Raw genomic sequence first — 15,902 nt, 5'->3', positions numbered from 1 at the left:
CTGAAGCCTTAATTAATCCACAGTGTGAGACATTGCAAGGTGGAGCCTTTGGGAGGTCATCAGGGTGGAGCCCTCATAAGGAGATTGGTGCCCTTATAAGAAGAAGAAACCAGAGCCCTCTCTTGCTCTGCCAGGTGAGGACACAGTGAGAAGAAGGCCATCTGCAAGCAGGAATGGGTCCTCACTAGGAATCAAATCTGCTGGCACCTTGATCTTGAACTTCCCAGCTTCCAGAACTGTGAGAAATAAATGTCTGTTTTTAAGCTACCCAGTCTATGGTGTTTTATTATAGAACACCATAATTCTATAATAAATTATAGAATTTATTATAGAATTATAATTATTATAAATATTTAATTAATAAATATAAATTATTATTATAGAATAAATTCTACAATTTATTATAGAATTATAGAATTTGCCAACATGGCAAAACCCCATCTCTACTAAAACTACATAAAATTAGCCAGGCATGGTGTAGCCATGCACCTGCATGACTACAGAATTCTATAATTCTATGATAAAATATAGACTATGACTAAGACAGGAGCCTTGGTGGTCTGCCAAGAGAAAGGTGGTCATGGTTGGGGAGGGGACAGCAACACAGCAGTGAGGGTTTAAGATGAGAGAGAAACAGAACAGGAGGAAAGGATGCTGACCAGGGGCCTGTGAGGGGTCACTGTGCTAAGAACCCAGCCGAGGTCAGAGGCCCCAGGTTGTGTAGAACCCAAACCACAAGAGTGTGTATTCCTCTAGCCTCCTTCAGGAGTCCTTGAGTAGGAAGAAAGAGGGAAAATGATTCACAGAGAAAACTGATTCACAGAGAAAGGTTTGCAAGACTGACATAGCAAAAGGAAGGGGAAAGTGGGTTGAGGTTGCTGGCAAGAGTCACAGAAGACACACACATGTATACATATACATACATATATAATTATATAGAATTGTATGTGTATATATAATTACATATGTGTGTATATATATGCTAGAGAGAGAGAGAAGGATTGATCACAAATGTAGAACAGGTCTGAGTTGCTAAAGTGGAGTGGAGTTGAAATTTTTTTTGATAAGGCTCTTATCAAAGAATGCTTCTGGAAGATTAATCTTTTTTTCTGGAAGGAAATAGAGGTAAGTGCACCACTTAGCAGGCTGATGTAATGGTCCAGATCAGAATTAGTAAACACACAGAATGCAAGTTGCAGTGACCCACCTGTGCCTCTGGCAATCGTCACCAATGGACAACCACACTCTGCTGCTGAACTCAAAATCTTTCTCTACACAGTGCTCGGGCAGCCACTACCAATTAGTTGGAATTGGCCCAGGAGATGGAAACTGCTTTCAGTTCTGGTCTGGATGAAAGGTAATAAGCCTGGCCTAGGTTTTTAGCAGCAGGCATGAAGTGACTGCAATGTGGAGCCCACCACAGGGTAAGAGAAAGAACATCTCACAGCCAGCCAGCCTCTGATCACTGGGTTCCCAGAACCCTGAGAGAGCTGAGGGTGGTGCCAGAAACGATCTCTGGACTCAGAATTGCTCTGGGGCACACCCAGAAGGCCAGTTGCTACTGAAGCACCCGAGCTCACCTGGACAGTCTCTCAGAATCCCAGGTCGGTTAGCCTTGGCTGGCTTCGGGAAGTGGAGAATCAGACAAACCACAGATCTCATGACTCAGTGATCTTCCATAAGGGAGTAGATGAGTGTTTCTGGCACTGGCCTGGTAGGAGCTCGTGGGAGGATGCCAATAATTCCCTTTAGTTACTCTGGGTCATGGTGTCCTACTAGCTAGAGCCAGCCTGAGGCCACAAGGAAACAGAAGCAGCTTTGGGCCCATCTCTGAGAAATACCTTTCACTTTATCTAATTCCCTTTCTTTTGGGTGAGCAGCTTCAGCCAGCAGGAAGCTTCATTTCCTTCCTCTCTGCTGGAACTCCTTGGTTCTGGGCCTTTGTTTTTATCAGCCATTGCAAAACTGATCTCTGATTGCACAATATGGGCAATGACATGACAGTGACTGAGACTCATGAATCCCATTAAGCCCAGTGGTGTTAATAGATCAGATATTCATAAAGAGATAGCAGTATTAATCCCTGACTTGTCACCACAACTTCCTTCAGACTGTCATTAATATTAAAAAGAATAAGTCATCGATATGTCATGCTGGTCTGCAGTTGTTTGGGGCCTTTTGTTGTTACATAATGAATGGGTTCCATGTGAAGGCCTCCGGGAGTGGTTTTTGCTGTTTATCTCTTTGTTCATGTTTGTTTATTTGTTTCTCCTTAGGCACTTATCAGAAGAACCAAGAACTGAAGATACAGGAAAAAACTTCTGCAAGTTCAATGTCCAAAAGAGACTAGGATTTAATTGAAACATACAGATCTAGAAAATCAAAGTCTGATTAAAAGAGTTAACAAAAGAAAGCACAACACTAAGGGGTGTGTGTGTGTGAGAGAGAGAGAGAGAGAGAGAGAGAGACAGCAGGGCAGGAGAGAGGGTAAGAGAGCAAAACAGCTTTGCAGGGGCAGGTGATGGTGTGATTTGAAATGCCTATGAGATGCACATCTGGCAGGTCTGAAGCCTGCAAGTAACACATGGAGCAAGTTACCCATCACCCTGGCATTTCCTCAAGTCTAAGCTATATTAGCGTCCAGCCTCCCACACTTTTTTGTGCATCCTAACCTAATTAGTTAAAGATTACATTCTCCTGTGTGAGTGGCAGAGTCTCTTGGGTACAGTCTTTTGGGCTAGGACCCAATAGATAGCAGTGGCTGTGTCATTTTAGATAGCAGTGGGAATTTGGTAATTGATTTAAAAACAAGTCGGCCGGGCTCGGTGGCTCACGTCTGTAATCCTAGCACCTTGGGAGGCCGAGGTGGGCGGATTGCCTGAGCTCAGAAGTTTGAAACCAGCCTGGGCAACACAGTGAAACCCCGTCTCTACTAAAAATACAAAAACATTAGCCGGGCGTGGTGGCATGTGCCTGTAGTCCCAGCTACTCAGGAAGCTGAGGCAGGAGAATTGCTTGCACCTGGGAGGTAGAGGTTGCAGTGAGCCAAGATCGCGCCACTGCACTCCAGCCTGGGCGACAGAGCGAGACTCTGTCTCCAAAAACAACAACAAAAAAACAAGTCAACAGATACACGCAAAAGTTCCCAAGGTGTAGGCCACATTCCAAACAGGGTTTTAATGGCTACCTACAAGTTTCCTAACCCTGCTTCCCCCCAGTTCAGCAGAGGGATCTTTCCTCAGCTAGCAGGCATTAATTGAATACCTATTAATGAATAGGAAGGAGCCATGGAGTAAGACAAGCTGACCTTAGTCAGTTTACAGACTGATTAGGGAGGTAACATGGGGCAGGGGGTGCGTCTGTGAATTGAACTACAATTACTAAAGAGCATGCAAGATGTGCTGGAAAGAAATGTGAGGTCCAGAGTAAGAATGTGACAAGTTTTTCTGAGAACAGCCTATGAACTGATTCTAAAAACGAAGCAATGGATTGTTTTAGTTTTAAAAATAGCTTTGGATTTTTAAATCACAAAATAAATAACAATTTGTTATAGTAAATTAGAAAAAAAACAGGTTTGAAAAAAGTTTAAACTTACAGACCATCCCACCACTGCAAAGCAACCAGTGGGGCATCACCCTGAACCCTGGGCCCCATCTTTTTTTTTTTTTTTTTTTGAGGCAGAGTCTCACTCTGTCACCAGGCTGGAGTGCAGTGGTGTCATTTCGGCTCACTGCAACCTCCGACTCCCTGGTTCAAGTGATTCTCCTGCCTCAGCCTCCCAAGTAGCTGGGATTACAGGCACATGCCACCATGCCCAGCTAATTTTTGTATTTTTAGTAGAGACGGGATTTCACTATGTTGGCCAGGATGGTCTCCATCTCCTGACCTTGTGATCCACCCACCTCGGCCTCCCAAAGTGCTGGGATTACAGGTGTAAGCCACTGCACCCAGCCCCATCTTTATCCACTGCTTTACACTTCCTTCTACCACTCCTGTCTGATCTACTTCATACCTGTGCAGTGTCTTCATTAGATTTCATTTGACCAAATGTTTCTACTGCTAAAGCAAATTTCAAAACTACTGCTAAACACCTGGTCCAGGTAAATTCCCTGACTCTTGCTTTCCCTGCATCATTCTCCTCTGATCAGCCTCCAGTGGCAACCTCCTCACCTTGGCCATTCTGGGCTGTCTTGGTCAGTTCAGGCTGCTATAACAAAATTCCAGAAACTAGGTAGCTTATAAACAATGGGAATTTATTTTTCATAGTTCTAGAGGCTGGGAAGTCCAACATGAAGGTAAATCCTGTGTCTGGTGAGGATTCATCTTCTAGTTGTAATCTCACATGGTGAAAGGGGCCAAGGAGCTTCTTTGGGTCTGTTTTATGAGGGCACTAATCCCATTCATGAGGGCTCCACCCTTGTGACCTAATCACTTCCCTAAAGGCCCCATTTCCTAATACCATTGCCTTGGGGGTTAGGATTTCAATATATGAATCCTAGGGGGACACAAACATTCAGATGATAGCAAGGGCCTTCTGCTTCTGGCTACAGTCCATCTTTACAGCTTGATGTCCCATCACCCTCAACAAGACCCTGTCTCTGGAATGCCATATGCATGTTCTTACTGCCAACCTTTTGCTCACATCTTTCCACCATGTTATGTGACCAACTCTTCTCTTCAAATATCTCCATACCGATTCTATAATCTGAGTTTGCCTAGCTCCACTGACCTATGAATCACAGCAATAGCAGCTCCCCCCATTGCATCTGGCCACACCTGAGTGATGCAGAACCTCTGGGCCCCTCAAAGTCATAGCCAGAAATTTCACCCTGGGGGATGTTTGATGTGTCCTCACAATACCCCACAAATGTGTCTCCTGCCATGTTCTTCCTCTCCTGTTTCAGCCACTCTTACCCTCCTCCCCCTGTTATGCTTCCAGCTGAGGCAGCCACTCCTGCTCAAGCCTTCCATGAATATCATAATGTCCTCTTTCCTGATGACCCCAAGGCTGCACCCTTAAGGTGCCAGCATTGTAGCCCCTGGAGTCCTCAAGGCGCAGGTGCTAGGGATGCCAAGAAACACCACTCACAGCCCTGTAACTAAGATCCTTCCTGAAAGCCACTCCTTTGGCATCTATCCTCTTCCATAGGCTCAGATCAGAGGCCCTTGACTGGCAGGGGCCTCAACAGGCCCCATACTTTCCTTTCCATTCTACTGTCCCTGTGCCATAGAGAACTCTTGACAATTGACTTATGCAAATGGACATCTGATAGCCCAGCTGGCTCGTCAGATGTGCTCAGAAATATTCTAATCCCATTGGTGGAAACAGTTTAGGTTCAAATAGCCAATTCGACTATATACCCTTTTAGATCCTGAGACTCAGTGCCAACCTTCATAAAATCTCTATCTCAGGCTAAATAAACTCACAAGCCTCTGTAGGAGGCATGGTTGTACAGTTGACCCTTAAATAACATGGGGTTAGGGATACCAAACTCCCTTGCAGTCTAAAATCTACATATAACTTTGGAGTCCCCCAGAACTTAACTACTTATAGTCTACTGTTGACTGGAAGCCTTACCAATAACATAAACAATCAATTAATATCTATTTTATGTTATATGTATTATCTACTGTATTCTTACAATAAAGCAAGCTATAGAAAAGAAAACGTTATTAAGAAAATCATAAGGAAGAGAAAATATATTTACTATTCATTAAGTGAAAGTGTATCCTCATAAAAGTCTTTATTCTCATTGTCTTCATATCTTTATAGCCTGAGGAGGAGGAAGAGGAGGGGTTGGGCTTGCTGTCTCAGGAGCTTAAGAGGCAGAAGAAAATCTGCATTTAAGTGGACCTTGAAGTGCAAACCCATGTAGTTCAAGGGTCAAATGTACAATTAATTTGGCAGCTATTCATGTATTTCCTTGTGACAGCTCTTCTTTCTGCAAATTGGTGTTAACATTTTTATTGTACTAAAAAAGATATATTTTAAAGGTATGTCTTTTTTATTTTAAGCATGTTGAGCAAAGAATGGAAAGTCAAGAAAGACAGTCCTCTTCCACCTCAACCCCGAAGAACACAGAGATAGCTTGAATAATTTAAAATTGTCAGTGTTTCATGTTTATGTCTTAGCTCATCATTCATGTAAGGCCCATGGTTTTCATCATGATATCCAGTAGGTACTCAAATACCAGTTGGTTCTGTTATTTTAAGGATGTTTAAGGTCATTATCTGTACCTTAATCAAGATCACAGGAGGTAGGGAGAAGACAAGATAAGACAAAGTAAAACATGGGACAGAAATAAAACTATATAAGCATAGTAAAAATTTCCAGAAGAAAATTTACCTTAGCATTTTGGTGATAGGATAAAATATTTCTAATGTAATTTGCCACTTCTTAGGGATTTCAAAAGCACATACCAAGTATCTAATTTGCCCATTCAACAAATACCTATTAAGTACTTACTGTGTGTCAAATAGGTTCCTAACAAGATAGCCAGCATCCCTCCCCTCCAGAAACTTCCAGTTGGGTGTAGAGAGGCAGAGACTAAACAAGATCATTTCAGACTGTAAGTACCATGGGAAAAATAAACCTAATGACTGGGGAGTGAGGATGAAATGGTCAAGGATGCCTTTTTGAGGAGGTAATACTTAGGCTGAAACAGACTGATGGCAAGTCATCAACCACACATAGTCAAGGAAAGAGCGCTCCCAGGCTGCTATCTACGGGTTGTGAACTGCACACGAACTCCACTTACAAGGACACCAATGGCGCCCCTGGAGTAGTACAGTAGCTCAGGGTGTTCCAAGCATGTTTAAGTTAATTCACTTGTATAATTAATTTGCTCTGCTCAAGTAACCTCGCACATCTATCGACCTGCACTTAGTCCAGCTGGATGCAATGACAATCAAATTAACCACGTGGTAATTCAGACCAGTCAAGAAAATGACCCTCAGCAAATTGCAGGCTGGAGTTGATTGTGCAGTTTGTGACTATGTATATGTTTTTCCACTTCTGGAGACATGGGAGACAAGCCTGGCAATTGACATACTGTAAGTGGGAAAAGCTTGAGATTATTTTTGGAACCAATCCATTGTCTACTCCTGTCTTCCTGATGCCAGGGAAAGGAAATACGAGTAATTGCTGTCCAAGCCGAAAGCTGGTTTTCATGGTGAGAATTCCTCCTTCTTTGGTAATGTTCATATGTGGGGTTTTAAAAATAGCTTTTATAATTACAGACTATACTATTAAAGGTGTGCCACTCAATTAACCATTTGCCTCCATAGCATGGGGATATCCCATAATGACAGGTTAATGGATTCCACGTTTAATAAAAACAAAAGGGACCATTAGAGTTCTAGTAAAGTCAGCAGCATAACTCTTTGCTGGCCATGGATTCCTTGTTAAACTGGCCTCAAAAGCAAATGTATGGAGAGCCTTTAAGATTTCAAACTAGTTTAATGAGTTTCACAGAAATGTTCAAAGGTAGCTTTCCCATCAACTTAGAATTGAGGCAGTGGAAGCTTAAATGGAGTCTTATGTTCACCTCAGAAGTGGGATACTCAGAAACTGACCCCTTGTTCCTTGAATCTCTCAGCTAATCCTACTTCCTCTCTGAACTGTGCTCACCAGTGTTTGAATCCATTTAAGTCAGTTCTGAGGAGGAAATTCCAGGCACTCTTCCCTACATATTCTGGCATGCAGAATCCAAAAGGAATTCTAGGGGGTGGAGGGCTGGCAGGAACACAGAGTGGGATGGGGCAGAAGTAGTGTTCCTGGGGAGGGCCTGGATATAGGATGTCATGCCCAAACAAGGGAAGGAAAAATGCAGGCCACTCTGGCAGGTAGGGATATTCAAGGGCTGCCAGTTGCAAGAAGCAGGATGGGGTGTTCATCCACCCGTGCCAGGGGGAGCAGGGTTATTCTGGGATATCCAATTCAAAATAGGTGGAAAAATGGGTCAGGGCTCAGGACCTAAACAATGAGGGCTAAAGGACCAGAAGTCTCCAGATAGCTACCTAGAGTATGTTTTCAAACTTTTGTGTGAATATGAGTCTCACAGAAAATGCAGATTCTAATTCAGTTGGTCTGGGGCTCTACATCTCTAACACATTCTTAGGTCATGCTGCTGCTGCTGGCTTATACACCACACTTTGAATATCAAGGGGATAGAGTATAGGTTAAGGTGTCTCCTTCTTTTTCTCCTAAACATCATGGTCCCAAGAGGAAGGAGAAAGCCTTGTACTCTACAGCCTGGGCAATAAGACTGCTACTGCCCAATAACACTGCTGAGAAGACACATCAGCCCCCACTGATCAGGGGAGCAGTCAAAGTCCTCTTGTTAATTCCAGGGCAGAAGCTGAGCAACTGGCTACTGGAAGAGACTCACAGCAAAAAACAGCCCAAAACAATGGGCAAAAGAAAGGTCATATTTGGTGAGTCCAGGGAAGAGGCTTAAGTCTCTACCCCTTTTTAATGCTTTGAAAAAAAGGATCTCTCATCACCCACACTATGGTCAGTGCTTTGAGTAAGGTCCCTCTACAGAGTGAGCCTCAGAGTATGCTGAACAAACACTGTGACCCAGGCCAGCAGACAGGGTTGAGGGGCTACTGCTCTCTCATAGTAATCTAGGAAAATATAGAGGGAAGATTTCTTCCGCGGCTGCTTTCCAGGAGCTCTAAATTGGGTACTGTGATGGTTAGTTTTATGTGTCAAATGAGCTAGACTATAGTACCCAGTTGTTCAATAAACACTAGTCTAGGTATTGCTGCGAAGGCATTTTGTAGATGTGATCAACATCCACAATCAGCTGACTTTGAGTAAAGGAATTATTCTTGATCATTTCTATGGGCCTCATGTAATCAGTTGAAAGTTTTCAGAGAAAAACTGAGGTTTCTCCAAGGAGAAGAAATCCACCTGTCAATTGCAGCTCCAGCTCCTGTGGGAGAGTTTCCAGCCCTCGGGCCTGACCTATAGATTTCAGACTTGTCAGTCCCCACAATCACACAAGCCAATTCTTGAAAAACTTTTGTAATGTAGAGTTGATCCTCATTATCGATGGATTATGTATTTGGAAATTTGCCTACTTTCTAAAATTCATTTGTAACCCCAAAACCAATACTTGCAGTGCTTCCGCAATCAATCACAGACATGCTCAAAGCAGTGAAAAGTTTAAGTCACCCAATGCACAAATTTTTCAGCTGAAGTCAATTGAGGCAGCACTTTCATGTTTCAGCTCTCATACTGTAAACAACTGTCCTTCTCACAGTTCATTTAGTGCCATGATTTTCACATTCTTGTGCTTTTTGTTGGTGATTTCATTGTTTAAAATGACCCTTGAGTGTAGTGCTGAGGTGTTGTCTGGTGTTTCTAAGCACCAGAAGACTGTGATGTGCCTCACAGGGAAAATACGTGTGTTAGATAAGCTTCATTCAGGCATGGGTGGTAATGTTTTGGCCATGAGTTCAATGTTAATGCATCAACAGTATATATTAAATAAGGTGTCTTTAAACAGAAACACACATAAAACAAGGTAATATCTTGATCAGTTGATGAAAATGTTGTGACCAGAGGTTCATAGGAACCTAACCCTGTAGATCCCCTAGGAGCAATGGTTCAGCATTTGCTATTTCAATGTTTGTGACAGCTTTATAGAACACTGCTATCACGAATAGCAAGAACTGACTTGGGTGGGGGTGTGTGTGTGTGTGTCCTGCTGGTTCTGCTTCCCTATGTTCCGCTTCCCTCTGCTTCCCTGGTAGCCCCCTTACTGATGCAGATGCAATACTGCCCTTTCCTCTAGGTCTGGCTATGCCTAGCACAGATGACAAGGGTGTTATGTCCTTTCTGTATTCAGATCCTCGACAATACTCTGCAGATGGAGGGGAGGAGTCCATGTACAAACCTCCTAGTGAATGTTAACATTCCCTTTAACAAGGAGAGTTTTTCTCTTACTAGTTCAGATTTAGGAACATAAAATATATGCAGGACTAGTAATTTGGATGTTATTCCATCTCTCTGATACAGTAAGAAGTAGGCTAGACTAGATAATGACTGGAATGCATTTCAGCATTTTTAATGCAATTTGAGTGATGAGTCCCAAATTACTTTTTCAGTGTAAACCAATCAAGTATATTCTAGTTTGAGTGTCTTTACCAAAAATAAACTTCTTTATGAATGTATAAAAAGTAATTAGACTGTCTCCAAGACATTGAGCCTATTCCCAAAGGGGGAAAGAAGCCAGCATGTCTCAGAGAAAAAGGAAAGCATCAATTCAACAAGCCCACTGCCCTTCCTCTCCCCACCCTAGTGGTCAGTTTTCATTTTCTTGGGCTGTAGTTATGATTCCAGCTTGCCTGGCCTGCAGCTGCAGGCTTCATTCCTAATTCCAAACTTATTGTCTTCCATGTTGCGCTGACTGCCACAGGAGGGTCTGGGTGAGAGAAAGTAAGGTCTTAGCTCAAATCTACCCCGCTCCTGAGACACCATGCATGCTCACTCCCTCCATGGGCTGGGTCCACAGCCCAGCTCTGCAGCGCGTGCCCAACACCTGAATGGGCCTTCAAAGGCTTACAAATAATTCTCTTTTTACTTCAAGAACATGTCACGACTAAGAATAAGCACCATGCATCAGCCACCATTGATCCTGAAATAAAATGCTGTCTGGACAAAAAAGAAAAAGCTTCTTTTATGCACTGATCCTAGGAAATCAGACCACCATTCACTTCACAGACCGTCTGCAATGTAATTCAACTGTCAAAGAGTGTTCAAACAAACAGAGGAAGGGGAGAGCATAATACAGCCTGAAATTTACTTGTATTCAAAAGTATTTCCCTTTAATGTTTAGCAACTTCTACAATATGAGTAGTACTGTAAGATGCTAGATGGTAGAATGGCAGCTGCCTTTTCCTGTAACTACGTAATTGATATACTAAATAAGAATGATACACTAAATCAAATGAAAATGAATGAAAAAAAGTGTCACCTCACCACCATGAAATAAAAAAGTGTAGAAATATATGTAGTAAACATATTGAGTCAAATATTCTCCACTCATCAAAAAATGCCTAAATGGCTAAACAGGACTAGCTCTTATGAAACTTGGCTTTGAGGGTCCACCGTGGCTCTTTGCTCCACATCTTCACACCCTACTGGTCACTTCCCCTTCTGGTACACTAGATGCAAGATGCTCCTTCTCTCCTCCTCCTTGTCTGGCTCTCAGCTGGTTGCCCACTTTGAGAGGATTCAGTTGAGTCAAGGGGCCACAAGCAGCCCACCTCCTGCTGTTTTAAATAAAATTTTATAGAAACACAGCCATGCTTATTTGTCTGTGTACCATCTGTGGCTGCCTTTCATCCTACAAAGACAGGGCTGAGCAGTCGCAACAGAAACTTTATGGACCATATGCCTAAAATATTTACTTTCTGATCCTTAACAGAAAAAGTTCCCCATCCCCTGAATAAAGCCCTTCACATGAAAGTATAGCACTTTTAAAAGTTACTCCTCCAGGGATGACTTAAATTTTAATAGGGAGATAATTTTCTTAATCTAAAGGAATTAATGGCTAATAACAGAATTTTGGTCATTAGCAATGGAATACTTTAGAGGTATTTTGGGGTTGGGGAATTTCTTAAGCTTAATAGCTATCTATACTTCACCTGCCCATCACCCAAGTTTCAGACCTACCTATGGAGTATTTTAATAAAATCGAGAGGGTTATTAGGACGTGGAGAAAGACTCAAAAGAGAGGTTGGTCTGAAAGGAGTTTGAGAGTGCTAAAGATGGCAGCACTTGTGGGGTCAAAAACACACAACCCAGGAGATTGCCATTTGTCTCAGTCTCACCCAAATGTTTAGTCTTATTCATAAATTTCACAAAGATATTATATTGAACTTCACAAAGTAAAACTTTTTTTTATAGCACATAGATATTCTCTCTGAAGTCCCCATGAGTAGTGTTATTTATCTCTAAAGAAGTCTCTCACAACAAAATAGCAACAGAGAGCACGGTGCAGCCTTGTTTCCAGAATGCTGGGGCTCACTCCACACCAGCATTATTAAGTAGACTTAGCAAGACTTTGAAGTAGCCACTGCACAAAGAAAACAAGAACATCTGGTTTCCCATCCCGAGGTGAATCAGAGGCTAAGCATGCATAGGAAGTAATAATCGCTTCTAACATTTGCATTTGTTCAGGATATTACAGCTCACAGAAATGTTCGCCAGAGCGTTCTTTTGTTTAATCCTCAGGACGATCCCTGAATGTGAAAATTTTCATCCCCATTTACAGGTAAGGAAATGAAGGTTCTAAAGTTTGGGTTAAAAGGCTCACCCTAGATAAAACTGCTCTTGGAGATGGAGTCAGAGCAAAAACTCAGGTCTTCTGAGTTGTCTCTGGGTAGAGGGTTTATTCCCTAAGTCCATGCTGGAGGGAGTCTCAGGTCTCATCAAGAGCAGAGTAGGTCAGCACAGTCATTCACCCAATTCTTGAAGGCCACGGTTTTGTTTCTCTTTAGGTACAAGAGTGGTAAGCAGCAACCTAAAACAGGAACGGGCTCCATTCAGGTATGTGCATGAGCTACCTTGCTGGTACCAGGATGCACTGCACATTGCTCCTGGACCCTCCTGGGATGGTGGTCACATACCACTAGCACCTTAAGAGGCCTTTCTGCAAACTAGAAGGCAGACCAGTTCCGCAAAGATGCTCCTTCCCATAGCTGACCCAGTCCTGAGCCAGGTGCAGCTCAGCAAGCCAAGCAGGCTAGATCCAGCCCCTGCTCAAGCCCTTCATCCCAGACAAGCCACCATCTCCAGGCACAGCCAATACAAGCGTCAAGTGCCCACTCAGTTCAAAGACCTCTCCTCTCCAAGAAGGGATGTTTCTTAAAAGAAAGAAAAGCTTACTGAGAAGAACTGAATCCATACAATAAACACTACACAGTTTACCAAGAAGGTCACAGCCACCATCTAATCTCAGCATGGTTTGGGTGGTGATGACAGCCCTTCTGAGCTTGAGAACTGCGGCTGGTTGCAGTTCAGGCCATCTCCTTCCCGCCTGGTTCTCCCTCTTGGCTAAGCTCCTTTCTGTATCCCATTCAAGCCATTTTCCCCATTAATTTAGGTGCTACCATGTTTAACAGGAACATCCTTGAATCAGAGGGCACATATAGCTAGCAGAGGGGTGGAATTATTATTGGTGAGTGGGTGGGTAGCTGTCCCCTTCCGCATGTTTCTGTCACACTCTGACAGGGGATCCTGCTGGGATAGAGTGCCTCTTCCAGGCCCAGACCTTTCCAGGAGGGCATCTGACATCACAGCATGCTGGAGCTCTTCCTGCTCCTCCTCTAAATGTTCTCGGGAGCCCACATCATCACTTAGGTCAGGGGGCAAAGTCCAGCTGAGCTCATTAATCATATTAGAGTCACCTTTCCTGCTCAGGGATCAGGAGCAGCAAGAGCTCACAATCTTCTTTCGAGTAGTTTTTTCATAGATTTGAAGGAAGAATGGATCCAAGAGCAAAACAACAGCTTCAATTAAGCCTGGGAGACTAGAAAAGAAGGTCTACTGAGAGTGCAGCTGGGAAAAGCAGGAGAGTTAGCTGGGGTCCTAGCTGATCTCAGCCACACCTCTGTCATGTGTCACGACTGAGCAGCACTGAGAACAAGACCTCAAGGCAGGCAGGTAGAAATGGACCCTCAGACTAAACGTTCAATAGACACTAAATATATTCAATTTACAAAGCGCCCTGCTAACATTTATATGGTGTGCCATGTCTTTCCAGTCCCACTCTGATGGCTACCACCGTGGTCCACAGGAGAATTGTTGAGCAAGTGGAATTTGCCTTCAGTAACTTCCTAGCACCTCTTCTACACACTTCCCTTTAAACTCTATTTTCTCCCATATTCAGATTTAGGTTTTAATTATCTTGTTACTGGATGTGGGGTTTAGTTACCACTTTTGTGACAATATCATATGGTGGCTTTAGATCCCTAATTATTAACTTTTGATAAATAATGAGGTATCTAGAGAACGCTGAAATTTGACAGTATTTTCAGGAGTATATCCCACTCCAGGTTAGACTGTACCTTTGTAGTATTTACTCCCATCAATTCAGCCAAAATTATGTAGGTAAAATATAGCCAAGGTATGTTTATTGATGATATAAGAGTTATTAAAACAATTAATAACAGGTTTATGGTTTTTGAAATGATTATACATAAAACAGCCTTTGATCCTGTGTCAATTCTCTTCAAAATATATTAATAAATATTCTTAGCCAATAGACCTTTGCTCCAAGAGTAGGTTTACACTACCGAAAGCCACTGATGCCACAAAATTACCTAATTTTTACCATCAGCAAGGAAAGGGCTTTTAATTTCCCACAATAGAAATACTAAGAAAAAACTCATTCAATGAATGTTTTGGTTTGGGGACAATTTCACAGGGTGAAGATGGGAGGGCCTTGCCCCAGCATTGACCGTGTGGATTAACCTCCTGTAACTCATACAGTTCACAGACTCCTCTCCTGCACAGACACCCGCAGCACAGCCACTTGCATTTGAAACCCACCAGGTTCCAGGAAAGGCTTGTGACCGACAGGTCAGTGCGCTAAAGCTGTGAGCCAACAACAGGGACTTCCACTTCTGCTTTCCGAGATCAAGCTGTCTCGGGAAAATGCTGACGCGTCTCCACTTCTCTTCCTGTCTCTGTCTTCCTGTTGATCTGTGTGTGCTTTTATAGCTTTATCACTTAACACTTGTTCCACTTCATCCCAAAAGAATAAAGGAGATGAGTAACGAATTCAGACAACCTGCTAGTCCCAATTCAGTTGAACCCCTCTTAAGGCAGCCAAGAGTAAAAATCTCAGATTTTAAAAGATGATGGGCACATTATGAAGTGATTATTCACACTACAAAACAGTTTTTAGAACCCAGAATGATAAAGCTGAAAAGGGATCTTAGAAATCTTTCATTACACTCACCCTCTTTTATAGATGAGACTACTAAGCCCACAGAGGGAAAATGACTCGGCCAATGACCCTCTCATTCTTAACTCATTCTTTGCAGAAAGGGAAGTTTTGCAACCGGAACTCTAAATTTTTAGAGAGATTAAAGTATGATTATTGCCCAGGTGCAGGGGCTCACTCCTGTAATCCCAGCACTTCGGGAGGCCGAGGCAGGCAGATGGCTTAAGCTCAGGAGTTCAAGACCAGCCTGGGCAACATGGCAAAACCTTGTTTCTACATAAAATATAAAAATTATCCGGGCATGGTGGCACACACCTGTAGTCACAGCTACTTGGGAGGCTGAGGTGGGAGGCTCACTTGAGCCCCAGAGGCAGAGGTTGCAGTGCATCAAGATCATACCAGTACACTCCAGCCGGGGCAACAGAGCAAGACCCTGTCTAAAAAAAAAAAAGTATGATTTTATTTAAAACTATTTAAATTAGACACACATTCCTAGGAAAACACTATTACATGTACTGAGGGACAATGGCTTGTGAAATGGAGTATGAATGCATGTGGTACCACATTTATATATGTGGTTCCATACTCTAGAATAACGAAAAACATTCCACATTCACATTTGTTTTAGTATTTCCTATTAACAACTTGTGTTTGGAATAAATACATGTTATTAACAGAATCATCCAGATAGGCAATTAATGAATGTCCTGAGGGTATATAATGACACAAATATATTTGAAAGCCTTGAGAGGAGACAAATTACTAACAAGGTCAGGGCCACTTCATTTGCCCTTGATAGCCTTGTGTGAACACACCCTCAGCCACCTTCTGAACACTCTCCAGGTTCAACTTCTACAACCTGCCTCTGTGATTTATCAGGTAGCAGCTGTGTGAGCAACTAGCCGTGTGCACGTGGGCACACACACGCACCCATACACG

The 15,902-nt window shown here is 42.9% G+C and overlaps 2 annotated features.

Moving 5' to 3' along the window:
• Window positions 2,892-3,508: an enhancer, noted in NCBI's record as "H3K27ac-H3K4me1 hESC enhancer chr2:64499254-64499870 (GRCh37/hg19 assembly coordinates)". NCBI's record gives its function as "activates a minimal SCP1, AML or CMV promoter by ChIP-STARR-seq in primed H9 embryonic stem cells {active_cell/tissue: H9 hESC(primed)}" and the evidence as "EXISTENCE:reporter gene assay evidence [ECO:0000049][PMID:30033119]".
• Window positions 14,755-14,934: an enhancer, noted in NCBI's record as "active region_15887". NCBI's record gives its function as "activates an Ori minimal core promoter by ATAC-STARR-seq in GM12878 lymphoblastoid cells {active_cell/tissue: GM12878}" and the evidence as "EXISTENCE:reporter gene assay evidence [ECO:0000049][PMID:35858748]".

Source organism: Homo sapiens, chromosome 2 (genome assembly GCF_000001405.40).
Source record: "Homo sapiens chromosome 2, GRCh38.p14 Primary Assembly".
In the NCBI taxonomy this organism is placed as follows: domain Eukaryota; kingdom Metazoa; phylum Chordata; class Mammalia; order Primates; family Hominidae; genus Homo; species Homo sapiens.
Note: the sequence above shows the minus strand (reverse complement) of the source record. Positions and strands in the feature narration are given on the sequence as shown.